Here is a 12,547-nt window from a genome sequence, read left to right on the forward strand (position 1 = left end):
CCTCCGTATGCTGAACGCTGGTCCCCTGGGCCCCCTTATTTCTTTCTCTATACTTTGTCTCTGTGTCTTTTTCTTTTCCAAGTCTCTTGTTCCACCTAACGAGAAACACCCACAGGTGTGGAGGGGCAACCCACCCCTTCATGCTCACGCCTGTAATCCCAGCACTTTGGGAGGCCGAGGTAGGCGGATTACCTGAGGTCAGGAGTTTGAGACCAGCCTGACCAGCATGGAGAAACCCCGTCTCTACTGAAAATACAAAATTAGCTGGGTGTGGTGGCGCATGCCTGTAATCCCAGCTACTAGGAAGGCTGAGGCAGGAGAATCACTTCAACCTGGGAGGCAGAGGGAGTGGTGAGCCGAGATCGCGCCATTGCACTCGAGCCTGGGCAACAAGAGTAAAACTCTGTTTAAAAAAAAAAAAAAATTAAGGCCGGGTGCGGTGGCTCACGCCTGTAATTCCAGCACTTTGGGAGGCCGAGACGGGCAGATTACCTGAGGTCAGGAGTTTGAGACCAGCCTGGCCAACATGGTGAAACCCTGTCTCTATTAAAAATACAAAAATTAGCCCGGCGTGGTGGTGGGTGCCTGTAATCCCAGCTACTCGGGAGGCTGAGGCAGGAGGATTACTTAAGCCCAGGAGACGGAGGTTGTAGTGAGCCGAGATCGTGCCACTGCACTCCAGCCTGACCGACAGAGTGAGACTCTGTCTGAAAAAAAAAAAAAATTATATAAATCAATACAAATAAAGTTAATGTATTTTATTTAACCCACTATATCCAAAACATTATTATTTCATGCAATCAATATGAAAAGGTTATTCACGAATTACTTTTCATTCTTTTGTTCTTGTTGTTTTTAAATTAATTCTTTTTTTATTTTTATTTTTTTTTGAGATGGAGTCTTGTTCTGTCGCCCAGGCTGGAGTGCAGTGGCGCGATGTTGGCTCACTGCAATCTCTGCCTCCCGGAATCTAGCGATTCTCCTGCCTCAGCCTTCTGAGTAGCTGGGATTACAGGTGTGCGTCACCATGCCTGGCTAATTTGTTGTGCATTTTTAGTAGAGATGGGGTTTTGCCATGCTGGTCAGGCTGGTCTCGAACTCCTGACCTCAGGTGATCCGCCCGCCTCAGCCTTCCAAAGTGCTGGGATTACAGGCGTAAACCACCGTGCCTGGCCTAAATTAATACTTTAAATTAATTAAAATGCTTTTAAAAAGTCCAGAACAGGCCGGGAGCGGTGGCTCAAGCCTCTAATCCCAGCACTTTGAGAGGCCGAGTTGGGCAGATCACCTGAGGTCAGGAGTTCGAGCCCAGCCTGGCCAACATGGTGAAACCCCGTCTCTACTAAAAATACAAAAATCAGCTGGGCTTGGTGGTGCATGCCTGCAATCCTAGCTACTCGGGAGGATGAGGCAGGAGAATCCCTTTAACCTGGGAGGCAGAGGTTGCAGGGAGCCGAGATTGTGCCATTGCACTCCAGCCTGGACGACAGAGCAAGACAACATCTCAAAAAAAAAAAAAAAAAAAACAAGAAAGAAAAACTAAAATGGTACCATGTTTTGCGTTTTTATTTTTTTTATTCTTAGTTGTTTTTTTTTTTTTTTTTGAGACATGATCTCACTCTGTCACCCAGGCTGGAGTACAGTGGTGCAATCATGACTCACTGAAACCTCAAAACTCCTGGGCTCCAGCCATCCTCCTGCCTCAGTCTCCTGAGTAGCTGGGGTTTCAGGCACGTACCAGCACATCTGGCTAATTTCTTTTTTTAATTTTTAGTAGAGATGAGGTTTCACTATGTTGCCCAGGCTGGTCTCAAACTCCCGGGCTCAAGCAATCCTCCCTCCTTGGCCTCCCAAAGTGCTGAGATTACAGGCGTGAGCAACTGTGCTTGGTCCAAATTGGTATTACGTTTTCAATTCAGGCTTCAGATAGAAGGTACCCTAGTTTTATTGCCAAGAAGAGATATAATTTCTATAAAACAACTCTCCTATCTAGCTAGTTTTAGGAACACTCCTACTGGTCAAAGTATATAAAACTAAGGGGACCAGAGTTAGCTGTAACGACCTTGGGCTCCACATATGCCTGTACTTAAGAAAATTAATGAACATTCTTGGAAGGTGGAATGCATCTTTTACACCTGAGCAAATTGAGGCTTGGGTTACACAGCTCTGCCTGGCGCATGTGATTTATTTTCTCTCTCTTTTTGTTTTTAAGACCTAGTCTTGCTCTGTTGCCCAGACTGGAGTGCAGTGGCATGATCTCAGCTCACTGCAACCTCTGCCTCCCGGGTTCAAGCAATTCTCCTGCTTCAGCCTCCCGAGTAGCTGGGATTACAGGCGCCCGCCACCATGCCTGGCTAATTTTTTTGTATTTTTAGTAGAGACGGGGTTTCACCATGTTGGCCAGGTTGGTCTTGAACTCCCAACCTCAGCTGATCCGCCCTCCTCGGCCTCCCAAAGTGCTGGGATTACAGGCGTGAGCCACCGCACCCGGCCTGGGCAAGTGATTTCTTTCTGCCTAATTGTCTAGTCATTAACCGGTAACTGAAAATCACAAACAATTTCAATCTTAGGACTGATTGCCCAGCAGTCAATTCATGCAAGATACTTTTTTTTTTAAATTGAGGCTTCCGTGGATGGTGAAAATCAAAATTGGAATGATTTTCATATGGAACAATGAAAAGCGCCCCTTTCTGAGTTTTCTAGACTGACCTCTGACCTCTGTTTCGGAGGGCCCGGCTAGGGCTGGCCTGGGACTGCAGAGGATTTTGTTTTATTTCCTGTGGACTAAATTATGATAGGATTTTAGGCACCAGTAGAGGGCGCTGAGACACAGGTGGGCGAGCAGAAGACAGGCTGTTCGAGGGGAAGTAAACCTAATCGCGTTCCCTTTAAACTTTGTAATGACTCACCACGGAGTCAACTGAGGAAGTAAAACTTAATAGGAATAGTCTCAGTGAACAATGCCATAAATTGACACGCAGCCAAGTGCCAAGTTCTGATAACAAATCAGTAAGAAATGCAAGTTAAAGGAATGCCATTGTTCCCTTAGGGGGAAAAAAACCTCTTCTTTGTTAAAGCCAGTGATGACCAGCAGAGGGTAAAGCCAGTTCAGAAGGTCAACCGGCAGTTTTAGAAATTAATATGGTCTCACGCATGAATATTCTTACAGTAATTCTACTTGGGTGATTCAACTCTGACAAAAATAGCAGAGATGTTTTCTATTATTTATTTAATTTACTTACCTTTTTGAGACAAAGTCTCGCTCTGTCGCCCAGGCTGGAGTGTAGTGGCGAAATCTGGGCTCACCGCAACGTCTGCCTCCCGGGTTCCAGCGATTCTCCTGCCTCAGCCTCCCGAGTAGCTGGGATTATAGGCACCTGCCACCGCGCCCAGCTGATTTTTGTATTTTTAGTAGAGACGCGGTTTCACCATGTTGGCCAGGCTGGTCTCGAACCGCTGACCTCAGGTGATCCACCTGCCTCTGCCTCCTAAAGTGCTGGGATTACAGGCAAAAGCCACCGTGTCCAGCCACAAACTGTCTTATCAATGGCAACTGTCTCCTGATCTGTTGGCCTCACAATAACTGAATAATAAAGCTTACGTTTTGCCAGGCGCAGTGGCTCACGCCTGTAATCCCAGCACTCTGGGAGGCCGAGGCAGGAGTATCACCTGACGTCAGGAGTTCGAGACCAGTCTGGCCAACATAGTGAAACCCCGGCTCTACTAAAAATACAAAAATTCGCCGGGTGTGGTGGCAGGCGCCTGTAATCCCAGCTATACAGGAGGCCAAGGCAGGAGAATCGCTTGAACCCGGGAGGTAGAGGTTGCAGTGAGCAAAGATTGCGCCACTGTACTCCAGCCTGGGTGACAGAGCTAGACCCTGTCTCAAAAAACAAACAAACATACAACCCCACCCCCCAAAAGACCCTACATCTTAAAACAAGAGGCAAAATTGCCCTCCGTTGAGAACCACTGTTCTAGACTTAATCTGTTAGAGTCATTTATTTATTTTATGCACAGAATAACTTTGCAAAGAGGAATGACTTTTTATTTGTTCCAGATTCTAAAATAATCTATGCAGTCTTCCGTGCAGGTTGAGATACTTAAAACTCTATCGGCAAAGGCCGGGTGTGGTGGCTCATACCTGTAATCCCAGCACTTTGGGAGGCTGAGATGGGCGGATCACGAGGTCAGGAGATCGAGACCATCCTGGCTAACACAGTGAAACCCGGTCTCCACTAAAAATACAAAAAATTAGCCTAGGAGGCAGAGCTTGCAGTGAGCTTGCAGATCATGCCACTGCACTCCAGCCTGGGTGACAGAGTGAGATTCCATCTCAAAACAAAACAAAACAAAACAAAAACTATCGGCAAAGTCACAGCCATGGCTAATTATCATACGTTTGTTCAGCAAATTCACCTTCTTTTTGCAAACATAATTTACACCGTTTAATCGGGAATTTTACACAAAAAAAAAGATTCTAGAAAACATAGCTGTCCATAACTGTCATGGTTTCCAGGTTGCAAGTTCATAATCATTTGAATTATTCAAATGAGTCTCTAAATGCTACAAAAATAATGTCTTCTACAATGACAAGTTATGGAATAAATATATAGTTGATCCTAATTTCAGGACACTTGGTATGTAAATATTTGCTCACGTTTTTCTTTGATACGTACACAAAGACTAATGAGTAAACCTGTGCTCACTTATGTCATAGCTGCTTGAAGGTTTTTGTTTTGTTTTGTTTTGTTTTTTTTGAGACCGAGTCTTGCTGTGTCACCCAGGCTGGAGTGCAGTGGCATGATCTCGGGTCACTGCAAGCTCCGCCTCCTGGGTTCACACCATTCTCTTGCCTCAGCCTCCCGAGTAGCTGGGACTACAGGTGCCCGCCACCACGCCTGGCTTTTGTGTGTGTGTGTGTGTGTGTGTGTGTGTGTGTGTGTGTGTGTGTGTTAAAAGAGACGGGGTTTCACCATGTTACTCAGGATGGTCTCGATCTCCTGACCTCGTGATCTGCCCACCTTGGCCTCCCAAAGTGCTGGGATTACAGGTGTGAGCCACCGTGCCCAGCCGAAGTTTTGTTTTTTGTGTTTTTTTTTAATTTAAGCAAACATATGGTTTTTGTTTTTTATTTATTTGTTTTTGAGACAGGGTCTTGCTCTGTTGTCCAGGCTGGAGGGCAGTGGCAAGATCACAGTTCACTGCAGCCTCAACCTTCCAGGTTCAAGCAATCCTCCCACTTCAACCCCCCAGCTGGCTGGAATTACAGGTGCACACCACTATGCCCAACTAATCTTTGTATCTTTTTGTAGAGACGGGGTCTTACTATGTTGCCCAGGCTGAAATATATGTATTTTAAGGAAAGGATGAAGTAAATAGTATTTTAGTATATAAATAAGAGTTGAGTATCCTTTATCCAAAATGCTTGGGGCCAGAAGCGTTTCGGATTTCTGATTTTTCAGATTTTGGAATAATTGCATATAACCACAACAACCAACATTTACTGAGCACCACGTACTGTGTGTCAGGCAATGATCTGAGCCCTTTACATGCATTAAGTTACGTAATCACTCAACAACCCACGAGGTGTGTATTGTCATCAGTTTCGGTCCACAAAGGGGAAGCAGAGCGGAGAGGAAACCTGCGCAGGAGTGCGCCCAATACCTTTTGCTGTGTAACAAGCCTTCCCCTCCTGTGAAAGGGCCCTATGTGCAAAGCAGCCCCCAAATACACATGGAGTTAAGAAACTGAAGAATGAGGCAAATCCAGGTTATCAATATAAAGTTTCATTTTCTTCTTCTTTATTTGAGATGGAGTCTTGCCCTGACGCCTGGGCTGGAGTGCAATGGTGCGATCTCGGCTCACTGCAACCTCCACCTCCCGGGTTCAAGAGATTCTTCTGCCTCAGACTCCTGAGTAGCTGGGATTACAGGCGCCCACCACCACGCCCAGCTAATTTTTGTATTTTTAGTAGAGATGGGGTTTCGCCATGTTGGCCAGGCTGGTCTCGAACTCCTGACCTCAGGTGATCCGCCCCGCCTCGGCCTCCCAAAGTGCTGGGATTATAGGCATGAGCCACGGTGCCCAGCCCCTCCCTCCTTTCCTTCCTTCCTTCCTTCCTACCTTCCTTCCCTCCCTCCCTCCCTTCTTTCTCTCTTTCTTCTTTTTGTGGAGAAGGAGTCCTGCTCTTTTGCCCAGGCTGGAGTGCAATGGCGCGATCTTGGCTCACTGCAACCTCCACCTGCCAGGTTTGGCGATTCTCCTGCCTCAGCCTCCCGAGTAGCTGGGACCACAGGCACCCACCATCACGGCACGGCCAACTAATTTTTGTATTTTTAGTAGAGATGGGGTTTCACCATATCGGTCAGGCTGGGTCTGGAAATCCTGACCTTGTGATCCGCCCGCCTCGGCCTCCCAAAGTGCTGGGATTGCAGGCGTGAGCCACTGCGCCCGCCTAGTTCCTGTTCTGAAGTTTTTAATAAACTTTCACTAATGCTCTAAAGCTTGCCTTGGTCTCTCCTGCCTTATTCCCCCAGTGGAATTCTTTCTTCTGAAGAGGCAAAAATGGAAGTTGCTGCAGACTCATACGCATTCTCCGCTGCTAACATACTTTGGTGCTCTGTGACTCAGATACTTTCCCTACTGACATTCAAGTACAATAAATAAAATAAAATAAAATAAAAGAATGGTAGGTCTCATCCGAAGGCTCTAGGAGAAAATCAGATTAAAAAAAGAAAGAGGCCGGGCGCGGTGGCTCACGCCTGTAATCCTGTAATCACTTTGGGAGGCCGAGGCGGGCAGATCACGAGGTCAGGAGATCGAGACCATCCTGGCTAACACAGTGAAACCCCGTCTCTACTAAAAATACAAAAAAATTAGCCGGGCGCGGTGGCGGGCACGTGTAGTCCCAGCTACCGGGAGGCTGAGGCAGGAGAATGGCGTGAACCCGGGAGGCGGAGCTTGCAGTGAACCGAGATTGCACCACTGCACTCCAGCCTGGGTGACAGAGCGAGACTCCGTCTCAAAAAATAATAATAATAAATAAATAAATAGAAAAAAGAAAAAATAGGCCGGGTGTGGTGGCTCACACCTATAACCCCAGCACTTTGGGAGGCCAAGGCAGTCAGATCACTTGAGGCCAGGCGTTCAAGACCAGCCTGGCAAACATGGTAAGACCCTCTGCTAAAAATTTAGCCAGACATGGTGGCATTCACCTGTAATCCCAGCTACTTGGGAGGCTGAGGCCCCAAATCGCAGGAGGTGGAGGTTGCAGTGAGCCGAGATCGTGCCACTGCACTTCAGCTTGGGCAACAGAGCCAGACCCTACCTAAAAAAAAAAAAAAGTTGATATTCTATGTATAATATACTATATTCTTACAATAAAGGAAGCTAGAGAAAAGAAAATGTTATCAAGAAAATCAGTGTGCGGCCGGGCACAGTGGCTCACGCCTGTAATCTCAGAACTTTGGGAGGCCGAGGTGGGTGGATCACGAGGTCAGGAGTTCGAGACCAGCCCTTATCAACATGGTAAAACCCCATTTCTAATAAAAATACAAAAATTAGCTGGGCCTGGTGGCACGCGCCTGTAATCCCAGCTACTCAGGAGGCTGAGGCAGGAGAATCGCTTGAACCTGGGAGGTGGAGTTTGCAGTGAGCTGAGATTGCGCCACTGCACTCCAGCCTGGGCCACAGAGTGACACTCCATCTCAAAAAAAAAAAAAAAAAAAAGAAAGAAAATCATAAGAAGGAGAAAGTAGTATATTCACTGTTCATTAAGTATAAGTGGATCATCATAAAGGTGTTCATCTTCATCATCTTCAGGTTGAGTAGGCTGAGGAGGAAGAGGAAGAGGAAGGCTGTCTCCGGGTGGCAGAGGAGGAAGAAAATCCCTGGATAAGTGGACCCACGCAGTTCGGACCCGTGTTGTTCAAGGATCAACTGTATACACGCTTATATTTCTCAAAAACACCCTATGAGTTCAGAGCTTGCCAGATGTAGAGGACCTCACAGTTGACAACCTGAGTGACAGCTGTCAACTCATGTGTCCTATGTCTCCCCGGTATTTATGGAGAGCCCAGCTGGGCTCCATAACCCAGTCCTTGGGGATCTGTTTCCCAAATGCCTCTCTCCAAACGTTGCCGGCTGCCAGATCTCATGTTTTACTCCTCTTCCCCTCGTTCACTCTCCTCCAGCACAGCGTTCATTTTACTCTTTTTAGAACAGGCAAAACACACTCCCACCTCCAGGCATCCGGATCTGCTATTCCCTCCACCAGAGATGCTCTCCTTGGAGGCATGCGGGCCCCACATCAAGCACTGTCTCTGGAGAGGCTTTCTCTCGTCACCTCTCCTAGAATTGCATTGGTTACTCCTGCTCTCATGCCCAGCTTTTTTTCTTTATCACACACGTCACTGTCTGACATAGTGTGACATGTCTGTGTGTTCCTGTGGGTAATTATTGGTCTTCCCTTAAAGTGCAGGAATGCCATGAGGACAGGGACTTTTTTTGTTTTTGTTTTAAGACAGGGTCTGTCTCTATCACCCAGGCTGGAGGGCAGTGATGTGATCACTGCTCACTGCAGCCTTAACTTCCCTGGGTTCAAGCAATTCTCCCATCTCAACCTCCCGAGTAGCTGGGACCACAGGCACATGCCATCATGCCCGGCTAATGTTTGTATCTTTTTTTTGTAGAGACAGGGTCTTGTCATGTTGGCCAGGCTGGTTTCGAACTCCTGGCTTCAGGTGAACCACTGCCTCGGCCTCCCAAAGTGCTGGGATTACAGGCATGAGTCACCATGTCTGGCTAAGGGGACTTTGTTCTTTTTTTTTTTTTTTCCGGAGACAGTCTCACTCTGTCACCCAGGCTGGAGCGTGCAGTGCTGTGATCTCGGCTCACTGCAACCCTCTGCCTCCCGGGTTCAAGCGATTCTCCCGCTTCAGCCTCCCGAGTAGCTGGGACTACAGGCGTGCACCACCACACTCAGCTCAGTTTTTGTATTGTTAGTAGAGACGGGGGTTTTGCCATGTTGCCCGGGCTGGTCTTGAACACCTGGGCTCAAGTGATCCTCCCACCTCGGCCTCCCAAAATGCTGGGATTACAGGTATGAGCCACCACGCCCGGCCTAGAGGACTTTATTTTCTTCATGGCTGTATCTGCAGTGCCCGTCTGTAACAGGGCACAATGCACTCTAGGATACTTGCCGAGTGAGGGAATTTCCCATTAGCTAGTGTAGCTTCATTTCTCCTGCTGCAGCCCATGCAAGACCACCAGCATCTTTCCCAAGGACCCTCGTCTTCTGTACCCTGTTCACTTGACATCCTCATCAAGTTGATATCTTTCCGCCACCCAGCAAGATTCTTTTATTTATTTATTTATTATTTATTATTTTTTTTTGAGGCGGAGTCTCGCTCTGTCGCCCAGGCTGGAGTGCAGTGGTGCGATCTCGGCTCACTGCAAGCTCCGCCTCCCGGGTTCACGCCATTCTCCTGCCTCAGCCTCCCGAGTAGCTGGGACTACAGGCGCCCACCACCACGCCCAGCTAATTTTTTTGTATCTTTAGTGGAGACGGGGTTTCACCATGTTAGCCAGGATGGTCTCGATCTCCTGACCTCATGATCCGCCCACCTCGGCCTCCCAAAGTGCTGGCCATCGCGCCCGGCCTAAGATTCTTTTAAAAACAGAAACCAGATTGTGTCATTTCCAATCCTAACAACCCCTAATTGCTTCCTTTTCCACTTTGAACAAAAGCCAGCTTCTTTACGGTGTCCTAAAACGCCTTCCATGATCTGGATCCTGTTAGCCTTGGCTGCTTTCCTTCCTACCTCCAGGTTCCTCAGCTCTCCCTGTCTGATCCACCCCATTAGCCGCTGCGCTGTTTTTCATACACCAGAAAGGATGCCTTTACTCAGGGCTCTTACGCTAACCCTTCCCTGTGTTGTAACATCCAGGCTTCCTTAGGATCTCCAGGTAGCCCCTCCTCCTCATTCTGTAGTTCTCAGCTGAGACATTACAACCGCAGCTTCCTCAAAAAATTAAAAATAGAAACGTCATGTGATCCAGCAATCCCACTGCTGGGTACGTTTCCAAAGGAAATGAAATCAGTATGTGGAAGAGACGCCTGCACTCCCGTGTTTATGGGAGTACTGTTCCCAGTCGCCAAGATGTGGAATCCACCTAGGTGTCCACCAATGGATGAACGCACCAAGAAAATGGGGTGTGTACGCACAATGGAATACTAGGCAGCCTTAAAAAAGAAGGAAATCCTGGCAGGGCGTGGTGGCTCATGCCTGTAATCCCAGCACTTTGGGAGGCCGAGATGGGCGGATCATGATGTCAGGAATTCGAGACCAGCCTGGCCAACATAGTGAAACCCTGTCTCTACTAAAAATACAAAAGTTAGCCAGGCATGGTGGCGCACGCCTGCAGTCCCAGCTACTCAGGAGGCTGAGGCAGGAGAATCGCTTGAACCCGGGAGGCGGAGGTTGTGGTGAGCTGAGATCACACCACTACCCTCCAGCCTGGGTGACAGAGCTAGGCTCCATCTTAAAAAAAAAAAAAAAAAAAGAAGAAGGATATCCTGTCATTTGGAACAGCATGGATGAACCTGAGGACATACGTTAAATAAAGTCAGCCAAGCACAGAAAGACATATACTGCATGATGGCACTCATATGTGGAATCTGAAAATGTGGCACTCATAGAAGTAAAGAGTAGAATGGGGGTTCCCAGGGGCTGGAGGGAGTCCGGGGGTGGAGGAGGAAGAGAGGGAATGGGAAGTTCTTTTTTGAGACGGAGTTTCGCTCTTGTTGCCCAGGCTGGAGTGCAATGGCATGATCTCAGATCACCGCAACCTCCGTCTCCCGGGTTCAAGCCATTCTCCTGCCTCAGCCTCCCAAGTAGCTGGGATTACAGGCACGCACCACCATGCCTGGCTAATTTTTGTATTTTTAGTAGTGATTCACCATGTTGGCCAGGCTGGTCTCGAACTCCCAACCTCAGGTGATCCTCCTGCCTTGGCCTCCCAAAGTGCTGGGATTACACATGTTAGCCACTGTGCCAATGGGAAGTTCTTAGTCAGAGAATACAATGTTTCAGGCTAGGCACAGTGGCTCACACCTGTAATCCCAGCACTTTGGGAGGCCGAGGTGGGTGGATCACGAGGTCAGGAGTTCAAGACCAGCCTGACCAACATGGTGAAACCCCATCTGTACTAAAAAAAATAAAAATAAAAAAATTAGCTGGGCGTGGTGCTGCGAGCCTGTAATCCCAGCTACTCGGGAGGCTGAGGCAGGAGAATCACTTGAACCTGGGAGACAGAGGTTGCAGTGAGCCGAGATCGTGCCATTGCACTCCAGCCTGGGCAATAGAGTGGGACTCTGTCTCAAAAAAAAAAAAAAAAAAAAAAAAAGAACCATATTCTTGAAAACCACTGACAATAGATTTTAAGTGCTCACACCATAAAGAAATAAGTATGTGAGGCAATGCACGTGTTCAACAGCTTGATTTAGCCACTCCACAATGTATACATATAGCAATACATTATGTTGTACACCATAAATACATACACTTTTCTTTTTCTTTTTTTTTTTTTTGAGACAGAGTCTTGCTCTGTCGACAGGCTGGAGTGCAGTGGCGCCATCTCGGCTCACTGCATCCTCCACCTCCCGGGTTCAAGCGGTTCTCCTGTCTCAGCCTGCCAAGTAGCTGGGATTACAGGTGTGTGCCACCACACCTGGCTAATTTTTTGTATTTTAGTAGAGACGGGTTTCACCGTGTTGGCAGGGTGGTCTTGATCTCTTGACCTCGTGATCTACCTGCCTCAGCCTCCCAAAGTGCTAGGATTACAGGCATGAGCCACCGAGCCCGGCCAACACATACACTTTTCATTTGTCTATTTAAAAAAATCACTACTGGCCAGGCGCGGTGGCTCTTGCCTGTAATCCCAGCACTGTGGGAGGCTGAGGCGGGCGGATCACTTGATGTCAGGAGTTTGAGATCAGCCTGGCCAACATGGTGAAACCCCGTCTCTACTAAAAATATAAAAATTAGGTGGGCATGGTGGGCGCCTGTAGTCCCAGCTACTCGGGAGGCTGAGGCAGGAGAATCGCTTGAACCCAGGAAGCGGAGGCTGGCAGTGAGCCAAGATCGCGCCACTGCACTCCATTCTGGGCAACAGAGCAAGAATCTGTCTCAAAAAAAAAAAAAGGAAAGAAAAAAGAAATCCTTGCCAATCCTGATATCCCAGAGATGTTTCCCAATGCCTTGCTCTTGAATATTTATAGTTTTATCTTTCACACTTAGACATGTGAACCATCTAGAAATGTATTTGGGGTACGGTGTAAGGTCGGGGTCCTGGACCGAATACAGCTCCACAAAAATGTCTGTTCTCGACTGCAAAAAAGCAATGTGACTTTGTGCACAGATCAAGTGCATCTGTTTCTGAAATCTGTAGTGTTCTGTGTCATCAGCCTGCATTTCCATGGTTGCGACAATACCACATTATTTGCCTCATTTCCTACCGCAGTTCCTCAATCACTCTGAATTCA

The 12,547-nt window shown here is 47.7% G+C and overlaps 2 annotated features.

The window, feature by feature from the left end:
• Positions 106 to 875: an enhancer, noted in NCBI's record as "H3K27ac-H3K4me1 hESC enhancer chr19:54342811-54343580 (GRCh37/hg19 assembly coordinates)". NCBI's record gives its function as "activates a minimal SCP1, AML or CMV promoter by ChIP-STARR-seq in primed H9 embryonic stem cells {active_cell/tissue: H9 hESC(primed)}" and the evidence as "EXISTENCE:reporter gene assay evidence [ECO:0000049][PMID:30033119]".
• Positions 876 to 1,643: an enhancer, noted in NCBI's record as "H3K27ac-H3K4me1 hESC enhancer chr19:54343581-54344348 (GRCh37/hg19 assembly coordinates)". NCBI's record gives its function as "activates a minimal SCP1, AML or CMV promoter by ChIP-STARR-seq in primed H9 embryonic stem cells {active_cell/tissue: H9 hESC(primed)}" and the evidence as "EXISTENCE:reporter gene assay evidence [ECO:0000049][PMID:30033119]".

This window comes from Homo sapiens, chromosome 19 (genome assembly GCF_000001405.40).
Source record: "Homo sapiens chromosome 19, GRCh38.p14 Primary Assembly".
NCBI lineage: Eukaryota > Metazoa > Chordata > Mammalia > Primates > Hominidae > Homo > Homo sapiens.